At 51.3% G+C, this 13,055-nt stretch overlaps 1 long non-coding RNA gene across 1 annotated transcript, besides 4 other annotated features; it reads right to left on the reverse strand.

Annotated features, from left to right (window-relative positions):
* Nucleotides 1,081-1,581: an enhancer, noted in NCBI's record as "H3K4me1 hESC enhancer chr1:201315623-201316123 (GRCh37/hg19 assembly coordinates)". NCBI's record gives its function as "activates a minimal SCP1, AML or CMV promoter by ChIP-STARR-seq in primed H9 embryonic stem cells {active_cell/tissue: H9 hESC(primed)}" and the evidence as "EXISTENCE:reporter gene assay evidence [ECO:0000049][PMID:30033119]".
* Nucleotides 1,692-2,676: an enhancer, noted in NCBI's record as "H3K27ac-H3K4me1 hESC enhancer chr1:201316234-201317218 (GRCh37/hg19 assembly coordinates)". NCBI's record gives its function as "activates a minimal SCP1, AML or CMV promoter by ChIP-STARR-seq in primed H9 embryonic stem cells {active_cell/tissue: H9 hESC(primed)}" and the evidence as "EXISTENCE:reporter gene assay evidence [ECO:0000049][PMID:30033119]".
* Nucleotides 2,961-3,100: an enhancer, noted in NCBI's record as "active region_2311". NCBI's record gives its function as "activates an Ori minimal core promoter by ATAC-STARR-seq in GM12878 lymphoblastoid cells {active_cell/tissue: GM12878}" and the evidence as "EXISTENCE:reporter gene assay evidence [ECO:0000049][PMID:35858748]".
* Nucleotides 8,110-8,649: an enhancer, noted in NCBI's record as "H3K4me1 hESC enhancer chr1:201322652-201323191 (GRCh37/hg19 assembly coordinates)". NCBI's record gives its function as "activates a minimal SCP1, AML or CMV promoter by ChIP-STARR-seq in naive H9 embryonic stem cells {active_cell/tissue: H9 hESC(naive)}" and the evidence as "EXISTENCE:reporter gene assay evidence [ECO:0000049][PMID:30033119]".
* LOC101929326 (uncharacterized) lies at nucleotides 10,001-11,248 on the reverse strand. The gene is made up of 3 exons (XR_241171.4): nucleotides 10,861-11,248; nucleotides 10,536-10,597; nucleotides 10,001-10,360 (listed from the first exon to the last, which is right to left on the reverse strand). It is a non-coding gene; the product is annotated as an uncharacterized LOC101929326 (long non-coding RNA).

A 13,055-nucleotide genomic window follows, 5' to 3' on the forward strand; every position in this document is an offset into this window, starting at 1 on the left:
AAGCACCTCCAGGGGAAGAGAACTCAAAGCTGTGCTGGCCGTTAGTCAAGTATCTGGTATTGCTCTGGCTTCTGGGTTCCTACAACTTCCACTCACTGGTCTTGTCTTTACTCACTGGGGCCATGGAGAATCGGTCCAGCCTGTCTTCCCCATGACAATCCTTCCAGTATCTGAACACAGCTCTCTGGTGTCTCTGAGCTTTCTCATATCCAAGCTAAGCCTCCTGAGCTGCTTCAACCATTCCTCAAGGACATGATTTAGTGTCCCTCTTGGTCACCCTTCTCTGAACATGTCTCAGATTGTCACTGTCCCTCTTAAGAACTGGAGTTCTGAATAGGTAAAGGGACATCAGTTGTGGTCTGAGTTGCACCGAATACACCGAATACAGGGCTGGACTCTCTCAGATTTTGGATATCCCAAATCTGTCATCTAGGCCTGGAAATTGCCAGGTTGTGGGATCTCCAAACTCCAATTCCTTGGAAACTCAGGCAAAGGTCTCTTTTGACTGCATGGCACCCCAGATCATCCAGCACCTTCAGCCCATGGTGGATCCTACTGTGCCACCTCCTCAAGGAGGAGCAAGGAAATTGGGCATGGCGTATGTTAGTATTGGGAAATGGGATTCTCCAGAGCCGATAGATCAGCTTCGGGATAAATTTATTCTCAGGTAAGTCTGAATGTGACAGTTCCAGCTGGGGAAGCAGCCCAGATGCCACAAAAAGTGATGCCTCAATGCAACTATCAGGAGATCCCAGATCTACCGCAGAGTCAACGTGTGGCCTTGGAAAAACCTCCTCACCAGCTTCCTTCCTGCTGAAATAAGGGGATATCTGGGGTCCCTGCCAGCCCAAATCAGACCTTCATGTGAGTTTTGTGGAACGGAAATCCCTGCCTTCACTCTGTGATTCTCAGAGCATTGGCGCTCTCAAGGTCTCCTTTTCCCATGCCCATCAGCTTCCCTAGGTTCTCAACAAGCCCCACACACTGCCCCCAGCCTGCCCCAGCTCCCTGGCTAGGACTGAGAAGCCTCCAGTTTGGCATTCCTGCACAGATTCCCACACCCTCCCCCCACCCAGCCTCAACCTCCCTGTACCAGTGGCAGGGAGCTAGAGAAGCCGTGAGTCAGGCTGTCAGAACTGGCCCTGCCAGTTCCACCTTCTGTCTAACCACAGTGTCAGCAAAAGGCGAGTCGAGATTTGGCTAGAAAACTCTGCTGCCACCATTCTCCAGGTGGGCAAGGCAGACAGAACTTCCCTGCATAAACTGAGCCCAAGCACTGGATTCGTAGAAGTCCTTTCCAACTTCCCTCAGCTGGGGAGGACACCTTTTACAATGACCATCAGGCCCATGGGAACTGGTAGGAACTTCCCCCTGCTGGCAGGAACTTCAACTACAGGACTAGATTGGCAGATTTGAGAGAACAAATAGCATTTGAGACTCAAAATAAAAGTCAAGCCATCCAGTATACAGGAGAAATCAAGGTTGGTAAGAACAGCCTCCCCATAGACCCTGGTGAGTTGACGATGCCTGTACCAGCCCTGCCCCCCCCAGAAAGGATTTGGAAGAGAAGCCCCAGCAGATCCTCTCCAACACCACAAGACTCAGCTTCTCACTTAGAAAATGAGCTCAAGGGGTCCTGCAGCATCCAAAGAGCCTTGCATAAAATCTTAGTAGTTGCTATGTGTCTCTGTGTGTGTGTGTCTGTGTGTGTGTGTGTGTCTGTGTGTGTGTGTGTGTGTGTGTGTGTCTGTGTGTGTGTGTGTGTGTGTGTGTGTGTGTGTTAGGGAATTAGATTAGCATTTCCCAAAATGAGTTCCAGAGGATGTTCACAATGCTAAGTGACAAAGGAGGTCTAAGTTTTGGAAACTCTGGGCTAAATGAGTGAATCAGTTTTTTTTACTCGTGATTCTCAGCAGTTTTAACGTGCTCATGTGTATCACAGCAGAGAAAGAAAGAGAAAAAGACAAAGGTGGCATGAAGCCCCTCCCAACTTACTTCAGTGCAGAAAACTTTAACAGAACTCCAATTTCAGAGAGCCAGTTTGGGCAGCCACACTGAGATTGTTTAAGCTTACTTCCAAAGGGAAATTCTGGAATCCCAGACAAAGGCTCTCCTGGAACAAGTCAAATGGCAAAGCAGATGGGCATGGACTGGGAGAGTGTGTCCGCAGACCAAGTGCAACTGATGAGCCCTGCAGGGGGAATTCCAGCATGCTCAGCCTCGAAATCTGGACAGGCTGGTGGACAGGCTGCCATGAAAGTAGGAGTCAAGATATAAGACAGGAGCAGGGCTCGCTGCATTCTTTGAAATGCTCTCTCCTGTCTCCCTCCTGTCACCATCTGAGACAGGCTCCCAGAATCTCTGTCTTTTCAAGGAATGAAGGACCTTTGGGACTGCAGGGTGACCTAGTTCAATACTTCTCAAACTGGAATGTGCACATGGATCCCTGGGGATCTTATTAAAATGCAAATTCTGAGATTCTGCATTTCTACAAGATCCCAGGTGGTACCATTGATGCCGGTCTGCGGGCCACACTTTGAGCAGCAAGGTCCTGGCCAATCCAGGAAGACTTCCTGGAAGGGCAGACTTATAAAAGAAGGGCAACTTGGAGGGAAAAAACACATGGAAGCAGAGCTGAGGCTGCAGAATAATGTGGAAATGGGGAGAGAGTGTGGAAGTGAGGATTGTTTAGAGAGATAGGGAGAACAAGGAGGCCAGGGTAGTCTGGGGGCACGGATTTTACAGTTAGGAATGGGGTGGGAGACACAGACGGGGGGCTGGGAGGTGGATGCTGGGAGGTGGGCAGGGCTCTCTCTGGTCCACACCGGCAGGGCGACAATAATTCAGGTGCAGGGCTCCCAAACCACACCCAGGGGGAGCTCTAATCCCTCAAGAGAGCGATGAAGACTTGGGGCTCCTTGTCCATCCACTCCTTGGAATAGATCTCTGCTGTCCTGGTGGGAGGTGGGCGGGAGGTGGGGGTGTCATCAGCACTGGCGACTCATCTTCCATCACTGTCTGGCTGCACATGGCAGGGCAAGGCCGGCTGGGCTGACTCCTTCTGAGGAAGGAGAAGGTGGGAAGGAGGAAGCCAGACAAGGCTCACCCTAGGCCTGGGGCATGGGAGGAAAGGGAAACCTAAGTTGGAGGAAACTAAGGGCAGGCAGGAAGGAGGGGATGGACATCACAATTAAGGGAAAAGGACAGGGAGCCGGGGACCCTTCCTATCTCCACAATATGCCAAAGATGACAGCAAACGCTTATCTGCTTGTTCCATGTGCCAGGCACTGTTCCAAGCACTTATATTTATAGGAGCTTTCTTTTTTCTTTTTTGAGATGGAGTTTCACTGTTGTGGCCCAGGTTGGAGGGCAATGGTGTGATCTCGGCTCACTGCAACCTCTGCCTCCCAGGTTCAAGCAATTCTTGTGCCTCGGCCTCCCAAGTAGCTGGGATTACAGGCGCCCACTACCACATCTGGCTAATTTTTGTATTTTAAGTAGAGATGGGGTTTCACCATGTTGGTCTGGCTGGTCTTGAACTCCTGACCTCTGGTGATCCGCCTGCCTCGGCCTCCCAAAGTGCTGGGATTACAGGCGTGAGCCACCGTGCCCAGCCCTATAGGAGCTTATTTAATCCTCACCATAACCCAATGAGGTGGTTGCTAATATCATGCCTGTTTTACAGATGAAGAAACTGAGGCACAGTAACTTGACTGAGGTCACTAAATAAATACCTAGTGCAGCTGGGATTGGACCCAGGGAGTCTGGCTTCAGAATCCATGCCCTTCAACACTTTCTAGAATCCAAGCAGATTCTGGGGCACATGTGACTTCCTCCCACTCCCTGCCACTCTCAACCCCTGCCTGAGCAGGATGCAAAATGAGTTGCTGCTGGCGAGGACATTAGTATCCTTCTGTCCCATGTGGCAAGGCAGCCCGGTCTCTTTCTCATGAAAATCTCCTTTCTGACTGGTTCCCGACTCATTCATTCAGAGTGCAGCAGCCCTGGCCTAGACAGCTCCACTAGCCAAAAATGGTGTTTCCTGAACTCTTCAGATTGTCAAATACCCAACTACGCCTGTTCTGGAGCCCCCAAATCTTCTGTTCGGCAAGATTCTCCCTCTGCCCTTTGTGGAACACTGTGTAATATATGCAGTCTATTAAATAAGAGCCCTCAACTTCCTGGGCAAACATCGTTCATTCATTCAGCAAGTAGTTACTGAGGGCTACCGTGTGCCCAGTGAGCAGAACAGACATCCCTGAACTCTTGGATCTTACAGTCAAGTGGAGAGAGAGACGGACAAAAAAACAAGGTAAACAGTGAAAACATATTGTATGTAAAAGACAAAAAGCTCGGAGAGAAAAGTCAGACAGGAGAGGAGACTGGGAGCGCAGTGTGGAAGGGTGGGGGCTGCAAAGGGAGCTACTGTGGCTGGGGCTGGCCTCCCAGGGAAGGCTGAGTGGGGACCGAAAGGAGATTTTGTTTGTTTGTTTATTTTTTGGGACAGAGTCTCGCTCTGTCGCCCAGGCTGGAGTGCAGTCATGTGATCTCAGCTCACTGCAACCTCTGCCTCCCAGGTTCAAGCGATTCTCCTGCCTCAGCCTCAGTAGCTGGGATTACAGGCACCCACCACCATGTCTGGCTAACTTTTTGTATTTTTAGTAGAGACGGGGTTTCACTGTGTTAGCCAGGAAGGTCTCGATCTCCCGACCTCGTGATCCACCCGCCTCAGCCTCCCAAAGTGCTGGGATAACAGGCGTGAGCCACCACGCCCGGCCTGAAAGGAGGCTTTGTAGTCAAACCTCACCCAAGGAGTCAAACCCTAAGTGAGGAGTGTATCGCCTTAAGTGAGGTTTGGCTACAAAGAGCTTTAATTTTTTCTCAGTTACTGCTACCAACTGGGAAAGCCCCTGCCCTGTGGACAGTGAGTGCTATTAAAGGTTTCAAAACTGCACGGCCACTGCTGATTCCTACAAGGTCACATTTTGGTTATTAAGTCTCTGCCCTCATCCATTTCAAACTCCAATCTCCTATTCAACTCAAAGCTCCCCTTCCCCTCCTTCTCCTGCTCAGCATGGACTAAACTTGGGGACAAACCGGGAGCAGGGCTGTGCTCTGCCATCTCATGGGTCCCTGTTCCATGGGCCCCTCTCCTGCTGGGGTGGGCATGGGGCCAGGGAAGGAGCTGACTCCTTCCTCAGTACCCAAGGCTGTCCTGCTGTCTGCCTTGGATAGGTGTCCCTGCTCCTCCAGCTGATTTTTATTTTATTTTATTATTTTATTTTATTATGTCATTGGTTGCAAGACTTTCCTAATGAAGGAAGCAGTGAATTGACCTCTATTCTGGTGCAAACTCCAGGTCTCATGTGGCTTGTCTTCCTGAGTGGCTCTGGTTTAGCAAAGGCTGGATCTAGGTGGGCGTGTCCCTGGTACCTGCAGACTCCTTGTCCTGTTGGAAGGAGGACAGCCAAAGGAGAGCCACAGTGGGGCCTTTTAAAGTGTAGGGCCCAACGCCTGACTCCCAGTTGCCAGGGTCTAAGGCTGGTGCTGGAGAGAACGGTGTGGGGTTGGGGTGGGGAGTGGATCAGAACCTGGGGGAAGGAGGGGACTCATGTAAACAAACCCCACCTACAGTGCACTCTCTCCAAGCCCCCACATTCTACCCCTACTTTCCAAAACTGCCTTCTGCTGACATCACCTCAGATCTACAGTCCCCCTCTCTCCTTCTCCCACACTACCAGCCCAGGTCGCCAGCGTGACCCCACCGTCGCCATGATAACAGCCTCCTAACTAGTCTCCCTGTTTCCCCGCATGTGCTCCAACCAAAAGGTCACTCCACAGCCAGAGTGATCTTCTAAAAACATAAGTCAGTGCATCCTCCCCTTGCTTAAAATTATCAAACACTTCCCATCACACTCAGCGTAAAATCCAGTCCCCTTAACGTGGCCCCCAAAGCCATGACGCAGCCCTCCCTCCTCCTTTCAGTCCATCCATCACACCAAGTTGTTTGCACCTGCTGTTCCTTCTGCTCCCAGCATCTTCTCACTTGCTTCCTCTGGCCAATGCCTATGAATCCTTTAGTTTTCAACTCAGTGATATCTTCCACAAGGACGCTTTCCCTCATCCAACACCTCCGTTTAAGTTATGTCCAACCTGTTCTCTTTCACAGCACACTGCTGTTTTCCTCTGGGTTTCTCTTTTTACAATTTGAGACCCAGGCACTGCATATGTATATCTATATCTGTACATACATGTGTCTGTGTCTATGCATATATGCATGTATGTATCCACCTATCTCTATCTATCTACCTTCCTCCCATCTATCTACCTATCTCTTTTCTATCTGCTATCTATCTATCCATCTATCCATCTGTCACCTATCTCTATCTCCTATCTATCTATCTATCTATCTATCTATCTATCTATCTATCTATCTATCATCTATCTATCTATCCAGTGATCTAATGTCTGTTTAATACTTTTCTCCTCTTGTTTATGAAGGTAGGAAACAGTCTTGGTCTGTCCTCAGGTATAACCCTGATAACTAGCCAGTACCTAGAATAGAGTATGTGTTTAATAAATATGTGTTGGATTTACACAATGACTGAACCAATGTGTCAGTGACCCCTATTTTCTAATAGAAACATTGGTTATCAAGCAGATTTAATGCTTGCATCGATATGATGTGAGCGAGGTAAACGTATGACCCTTCCAAGATCAAAGGTCTTCTTTTTCTAAAGTTACTATCCTATGGACTTGTTACAGTGCTTTGACAACTGTGAAAGACAATGCAACTCTAATGTGATTAGTTTGCCATATTTTCCCTCTCTGATATTTGATATTTAAAAGATCAAACCTTAAACAAGATCATCTAATTTGAGAATGATTTTTCTCCTGTATTCATTCCCATGCATGGAGGCCACTGGGATCTACGGATGAACAACCCAGGACCCCAGGTCCCAGGAAGTGCCCAGGCTAGATGTAGGGGAGAGATGAGGAAACCACCAACCGCAACTGAGTGGGATGAGGGCTAGGTGAATTCACAAGCCACTTTATATGAGCAAGAGGCAGTGGTAAGATCTTACATTCCTAATTCCAGATTTCCCAGGTGAGTGATCAAATTTTTGCAATAGACAAATTTGAACATTATTTCACACAAGTTTTTCTATGATAAGGATCGATGCACTCGTACTTTGCATTATATAATCAGAAATTATTCAAATATTTGTTGGCTAAAATACAGAAGGGACTTCTTGAAAATATGCTTTTCTTTGTTTCTATCAGATGCCTGACTTGATTTGGTAGGAAGTGTACCATTCAAATAATTTTAACATTGTAATAAAAATACAGTAATCAGGATCCTGCCCTGTATGACCTTGGATGAGTCACCTAACTTCTCTGAGCCTCAGTTTCCTTGTGTATAAAATGGAGTTATTATATAGGACCTAATTTTGCATGTTACTGTAATTAGAGAGTGGACATAAATTACGTAACATAGTATATGGCACACGATAGGTGCCTAATATATGGAGGCAAATATCATTTGTTAGTATTATCATGTAGCTGGCTTACAAATTATGCCAAGTGTCTCCCAGCAGAAACCACTGCTCACCACATCACCTGGGCCTGAACAGGTGGGAGATGTGGGGCCAGAGGAGTCTCTGTGTGAAGTTCAGAGGGAAACACTGCTTTGTCTATTGCCCCCAGGTAGAAGTGAAGTGACCTTCTGCCTTTATCTTCATCAACCTGCATTCCTAGCTGGCATCATCTTCTGGGAATTGGCAGGGTACGGATGGGTGGGGAGAGGACGGGGTGAGGCAGCTCATCCTAAACAGGTCTCCCTGTCCCACATTTAGCAAACCCAGCACAATCTCAGCACCTCTCAGCCTGGGAATCACACCACCTCTCCCACCCCGCCCACTGCGTTCCTGAAGAGCAGCCCCAGCCTAGCCCCAGGCTTCTTCAGGTTTGCATTGCTCAGGCCTGGCTTTACGGGGAAAACTGCTTTGGGATTGGGGCGTGCTGCAGGTGTGGCCAGTGTGGCCAAGGCCAGCACTGAGGGCAGGGCCACAGGGCGGAGCTGGGGCTACTTCCCCCAACCCCCGCCCCAGGTCAGGGCGCTCTGCACAAGTATGGAAACATTTTTCTCCTGAGTCTTCATTTGAGAGCAATTTAAATTCCTGTAGATGCTGGGGTGGGAGCTGAGAACCTGGGATGAGCAGGTGGGTGGGGCTGAAGCCCTGGGAACAGTGCCAGGCAGGGAGGTCTGGGCTGGGCACCCAGTCCTGGTTTCTGTGAACCACAGGAGGCCCAGAGTGAATGGGCCTTCAATGTGCGGCTCTTAAGGCATCACCAGAGGCATCGCTGGTGCTCAGGAAGCCCCAGGTGCTCAGGAGGGAGTCCCAAAGGCTTCTTGGAGAAACAGGGACTTCATCGAGGCCCTGAGGAAGGCGGAGGGCAGTTGGATAGGCAGAGACAGAAAGAAGGGCAAGAAAAAGCCATGCAGAGGTGGGAGAGCATAGGACATGCTGGAGAAACAAAAGTAGCTAGCTCCATTTGGCTGAAAAGTAAGGCTGGAGGTAGACTGCAGAGGGTCCCTAAAGCACCTCTGCCACCCCCAACAACAGCCAGATAGGCCCTGCTGGCATCTAGACCCAGGATTCTGCCCACCCTGAGGTTTACTCACTATCTTTGCAGAGTCGAGGGGTAACCCACAGACAAGGTAATGACAGGTGCTTCCATGACCCACAGATCCCCCCAACTACTCTGGGACACAGGTATGGGGTATAATTACTCCCAAGAAGGAGGAGGCTGGCCAATGATTCTCTTGCACCCTGGGTAGAGCCCCACTCAACCCCACCTCTACTGTTCCCTCCAGAGGCCGCCTCCATGTGCTAGACATAGCACATCTCCTCCTGTCAGGTCCCAGGTGGGCAGCTGGAGGGCAGCAGAGAGGGTCAAGCTCCTGGACTCCTGCCCTGTGCCCTCACCCCAAGTCAGCCCACGGGAGGCTCTGATTCTGGCCCAAGCACTGCAATCTGGGGAGATTTGGGATGCTCCTCAATCTACAAGATCCACATGTTAGGAAGAATCCTGGCTCTGGCGTCACATAGACCTGGGTTCAAATCCCAGCTTTGCCACTTACTAACTGAATGGCCCTTGGCATGTTGCCTAAACTCTCTGTACCTCAGTTTCCTCATCTGCAACATGCGGTGTGATCTGGGGACTGTGGATGGTTGGCTGGAGAGAACATATGTAAAGTAGCTGGCCCAGTGCCTGCGTGGGGGGCGCAGAGCGAGAAACACATGAAGGGTATGTGTGCAGGGGGAGAAGACGAGCTGACCCAGATCAGCAGCATTTTCCCCAAATTCACACTTAGTCTTCCTCCTGGTAGGGATGACAGGGCAGACTGGACTTTCAGAGGAGAAGCCAAGCCCAGAGAAGCAAGTGAGTGCCCGTGGCTACACTGTGGGAACATGGGGTCCAGCCTGGTCTCCCCTGCACCCCCAGCCTGCCCCATACCCAACAGGAGCCTATTAGAGAGCCTGGCCCTGAGACCTATCCCTGAGCCCAGCTATTTCCCCCAACCAGGGCAGGTTCCCTGGAAGCTCAGGCCCTGCCCCACCTTTCCCAGAAATCAAGCTGCAGAGTAGGGAGTGGAGCCTGGCCTGGGAACAAGTTCTGGCACCTCCATCCAGACAGTGGCACACGCTGAACCACGTGCCAGGAGGGACAGTCCGTAGCAGCAAATCCCACCCACCCCCAACCCCTGGTGGCCTATCTGGTGAGGGAGAAGACCAGGCCGTGGAATCCAGGAGGAAAGAGGAGCCATTGAAGGGTTCCCTAAAACCACACAGGCAAGGAGGAGCCAGCCCAGACCCAGCATGGGTGAACTCTTCTTCTGCAGACCTTGAGCCCTTGAGAAAGGCTAATAACGTGTTTTCATCCAAAAGGCAGTAGCAGTGGCTCGTGCTGATTACACACTATGCACTAAGCACTGTGCTAGTTGCTGCATGTTTATTTCATTTAGCCTTCATAACAATCCCCATTGTTTAGATAGGGGAACTTCAGCACAGAGAAGGCAAGGAATTTGACCAAAATCCCAGAGCTGGGAAGGGGCAGAGCCAGAGTTTGATGGGAGAAAGTGAGGCTCTAGCTTCAGAGCATCGGGGCTCCAGCTGGAGGAGCTGGATTCCCAGGCGAAGGAGCCCTGGGGGAACACCTTGTTCTCTCCCAGCTCTACCTCTAAAGTGGGCATCACACGAACAAGCTCTGCCCAGGATGCGAGCTTGTTAGGAGAACGAATCTGATGACAGGATGGCGGAAGAGTCTTCACCTCTGACTCAGGGCTGAGAAGAGCCTGCAAGTAATTTTCCCTGAGCATTTGGTGTACACAGGGTGCTGAGAGGCCCATGAGGCAATGGGTCATGGATCGAAAGTACAGTGAGATGGGATCTGAGAGGCATAGAGGGAGGTCCCTGCAGGGGACAGTGGGGACAGTGGGGGTCAGAGTGTCTGGGTGGGCGTCAACTCACCCCGCTGCATCCAGCTCCTCAGTTGTCAGGAGGCCCAGGACAGCTCTTGGCCACTGCTGCACCTTCAACGTTTGGTTCAGGACCATCATAAGCACAAGAATGATGGAAGTGGTGGGTGAACTGAGGAGGGTGTGTGGAGGCCCTATCTGTGAAGCTATCTCAGTGTGTTCTGTGCACACATCCATGATCTTTCTGTTCCCTAGCAATATTATGGGGAGAGCACAGGACCACTTGGTCTGAAGCCCCCACCCTTGCCTTTTGAAATTGGCAGGACTCCCTGCACTGGGCTGATGGACCAGGTGTGCCCCTGCACCCTGACACTCACTTGCTTTCTCCTCTGTCCTGGGATAGGACAAGGTCCCCTTCCCAGGCTCCACTTATGGATTAGTGCTCCAGGTTCCATGCAGACCAGGTGTCTGCAGATCTCCTGCCTAGAGGCAGCGCTTGGGTTAACCTGTGGTGTTCCTCTTAAGATGATGGGATGGGGACCTCAACTGGGTGAGGCCCCCATGGGGGCAGCGCCTGGGACACTCCGAAGTTCTTTCCTGAACACCAGGTGACCTTAGGAGAAAAGAGATTAAGTGGGATCTGGTCTTAGGGGCTTTTCAGAGTCGGAGGGCAAGGGTGTCTTCTGTGCCCACCTCTGGGCACAGTTGTTTTTTTTTTTTGAGCGATTCCCCTGCCTCAGCCTCCCGAGCCCTACTACAGGCACGCGCCACCATGCCCAGCTAATTTTTTTTTTGAGACGGAGTCTCGTTCTGTTGCCAGGCTGGAGTGCAGTAAAGACAGGGTTTCACCATGTTGCCCAGGATGGCCTTGATCTCCTGACCTCATGATGTGCCTGCCTCGGCCTCGCAAAGTGCTGGGATTACAGGCATGAGCCACCGCGCTCGGCCTGGGCACAATTTTTAAAAGAGAGACCACATCTACTAGAGCAGGGGTCCCCAACCTCTGCACCGTGGACCAGACTCTACCAGTCTATAGCCTGTTATGAACCAGGCTGCACAGCAGGTGAGCTGTGGGTGGGCGAGCATGACGGCCTGAGCTCCACCTCTTGTCAGATCAGCAGCCAGCAGCATTAGATTCTCATAGGAGTGTGAAACCTATTGTGAACTGTGCATGCGAGGGATCTAGGGTGCATACTCCTTACGAGAATCTATTGCCTGACGATCTGAAGTGGAATAGTTTCATCCTGAAACCACCCCCACCCACCCACCCCTACTTTTCTTCCCCACCCCACCCCTGTCCATGGAAAAATAGTCTTCCAAGAAACTGGTCCTTGGTGCCAAAAAGGTTGGGGACCGCTGTACTAGAGAAATGGTCACAAGGACCCTGCTGGGAGAGGGGGAGCAGGAGACAGGGCCCCAGACACACGGCCCATCATGACCTCTTGTTGCACCAAGGAGACACTGAGGCATAGGCGGTGGAGCCAAGGCGGCAGGTGGGGGTAGAGGTGCAGTGCCCCTTTATGGGGAGAGGGGCTAGGGCACTGCCCCAGCTGTCCTATCCGGCAAACTGAGATAGTAGGGCTGGTGCGTGCCAGGAGCTGCCAGTGGGTCTCCCAGAGCCCGTGGTGACAGCCCTCCTTGGGCCTGAGGCCTGCGTCCTGCCTCCCTGTCCATTTTGGGGGCATTTATGATGGAGCCTTCTTGTCCCCACCAGAAGATGCTTGGATTCTGCTAATAACTATATCTCTTCAAACACACCATGCTGGCTCTTGCTTCTCAAACTTTCTATGTGCCGTTCCCAGCCCCACCCCCAACCTCTTCCCCTTGACTTCCCCCTCCTCACCCTCTGGTACTCGGCCTAGACACTCTTTCCTCCAGAAAGCCTTCCCACCTGCCAGGGCCAGGTGTGGTGCGTGGCTATGCCTCTCCCCAGCATCGCACCCCCCACCCGCCCCTGTCACCCAGGGCTGGGACCTCTGCTTGCTGTCTCCCTGCTGCTGGATGTGAGCTCTGTGAGCTCCATGAGCGATGTGCTGGCTTAAATCACAGCACCCCACACCCAACACAGTGTCTAGCACATAGTTGGTGCTCAGGAGGTATTTGAATGACTGAACGAATGAATGAATAAGAAATGAGGCCGAGACCCCAGGCTAAGCCCCTCCCTGTGGCCCAAGGACCATTTCCTCTTCATCTCTCACTACATGGATCCCAGTGCTTGGCATACAGCACAGGATAACATGTCTGCATTGTCTCCTGGGAGCATGAGAGCCACGCCTGCAGGAAGAGACCCGTCTAACAGAGTGTGGCATTGGATGGCATAGCTGTGACAGCACATGCTCTAGCAAGCAGAAATGGATTTGCTCTGGCTGGGAGACCACAGGAAGCCTTTCCAGACACAGCTCATGAGGCACTTGCTGATGGATGGCAAGTGGGGAGCCAAGGGAAGGAATCAGGAATTGGGGGAAATTCCACGCCTGACAAAGGAATGGAGGGTCAAGAGAATGTGTCGTCTCAGGCTCTCCTCTGGAGAGGAGGATGGTGCCCTCTCATCGTTTCCTTGTCTTTCTGCCAA

This window comes from Homo sapiens, chromosome 1 (assembly GCF_000001405.40).
Source record: "Homo sapiens chromosome 1, GRCh38.p14 Primary Assembly".
NCBI lineage: Eukaryota > Metazoa > Chordata > Mammalia > Primates > Hominidae > Homo > Homo sapiens.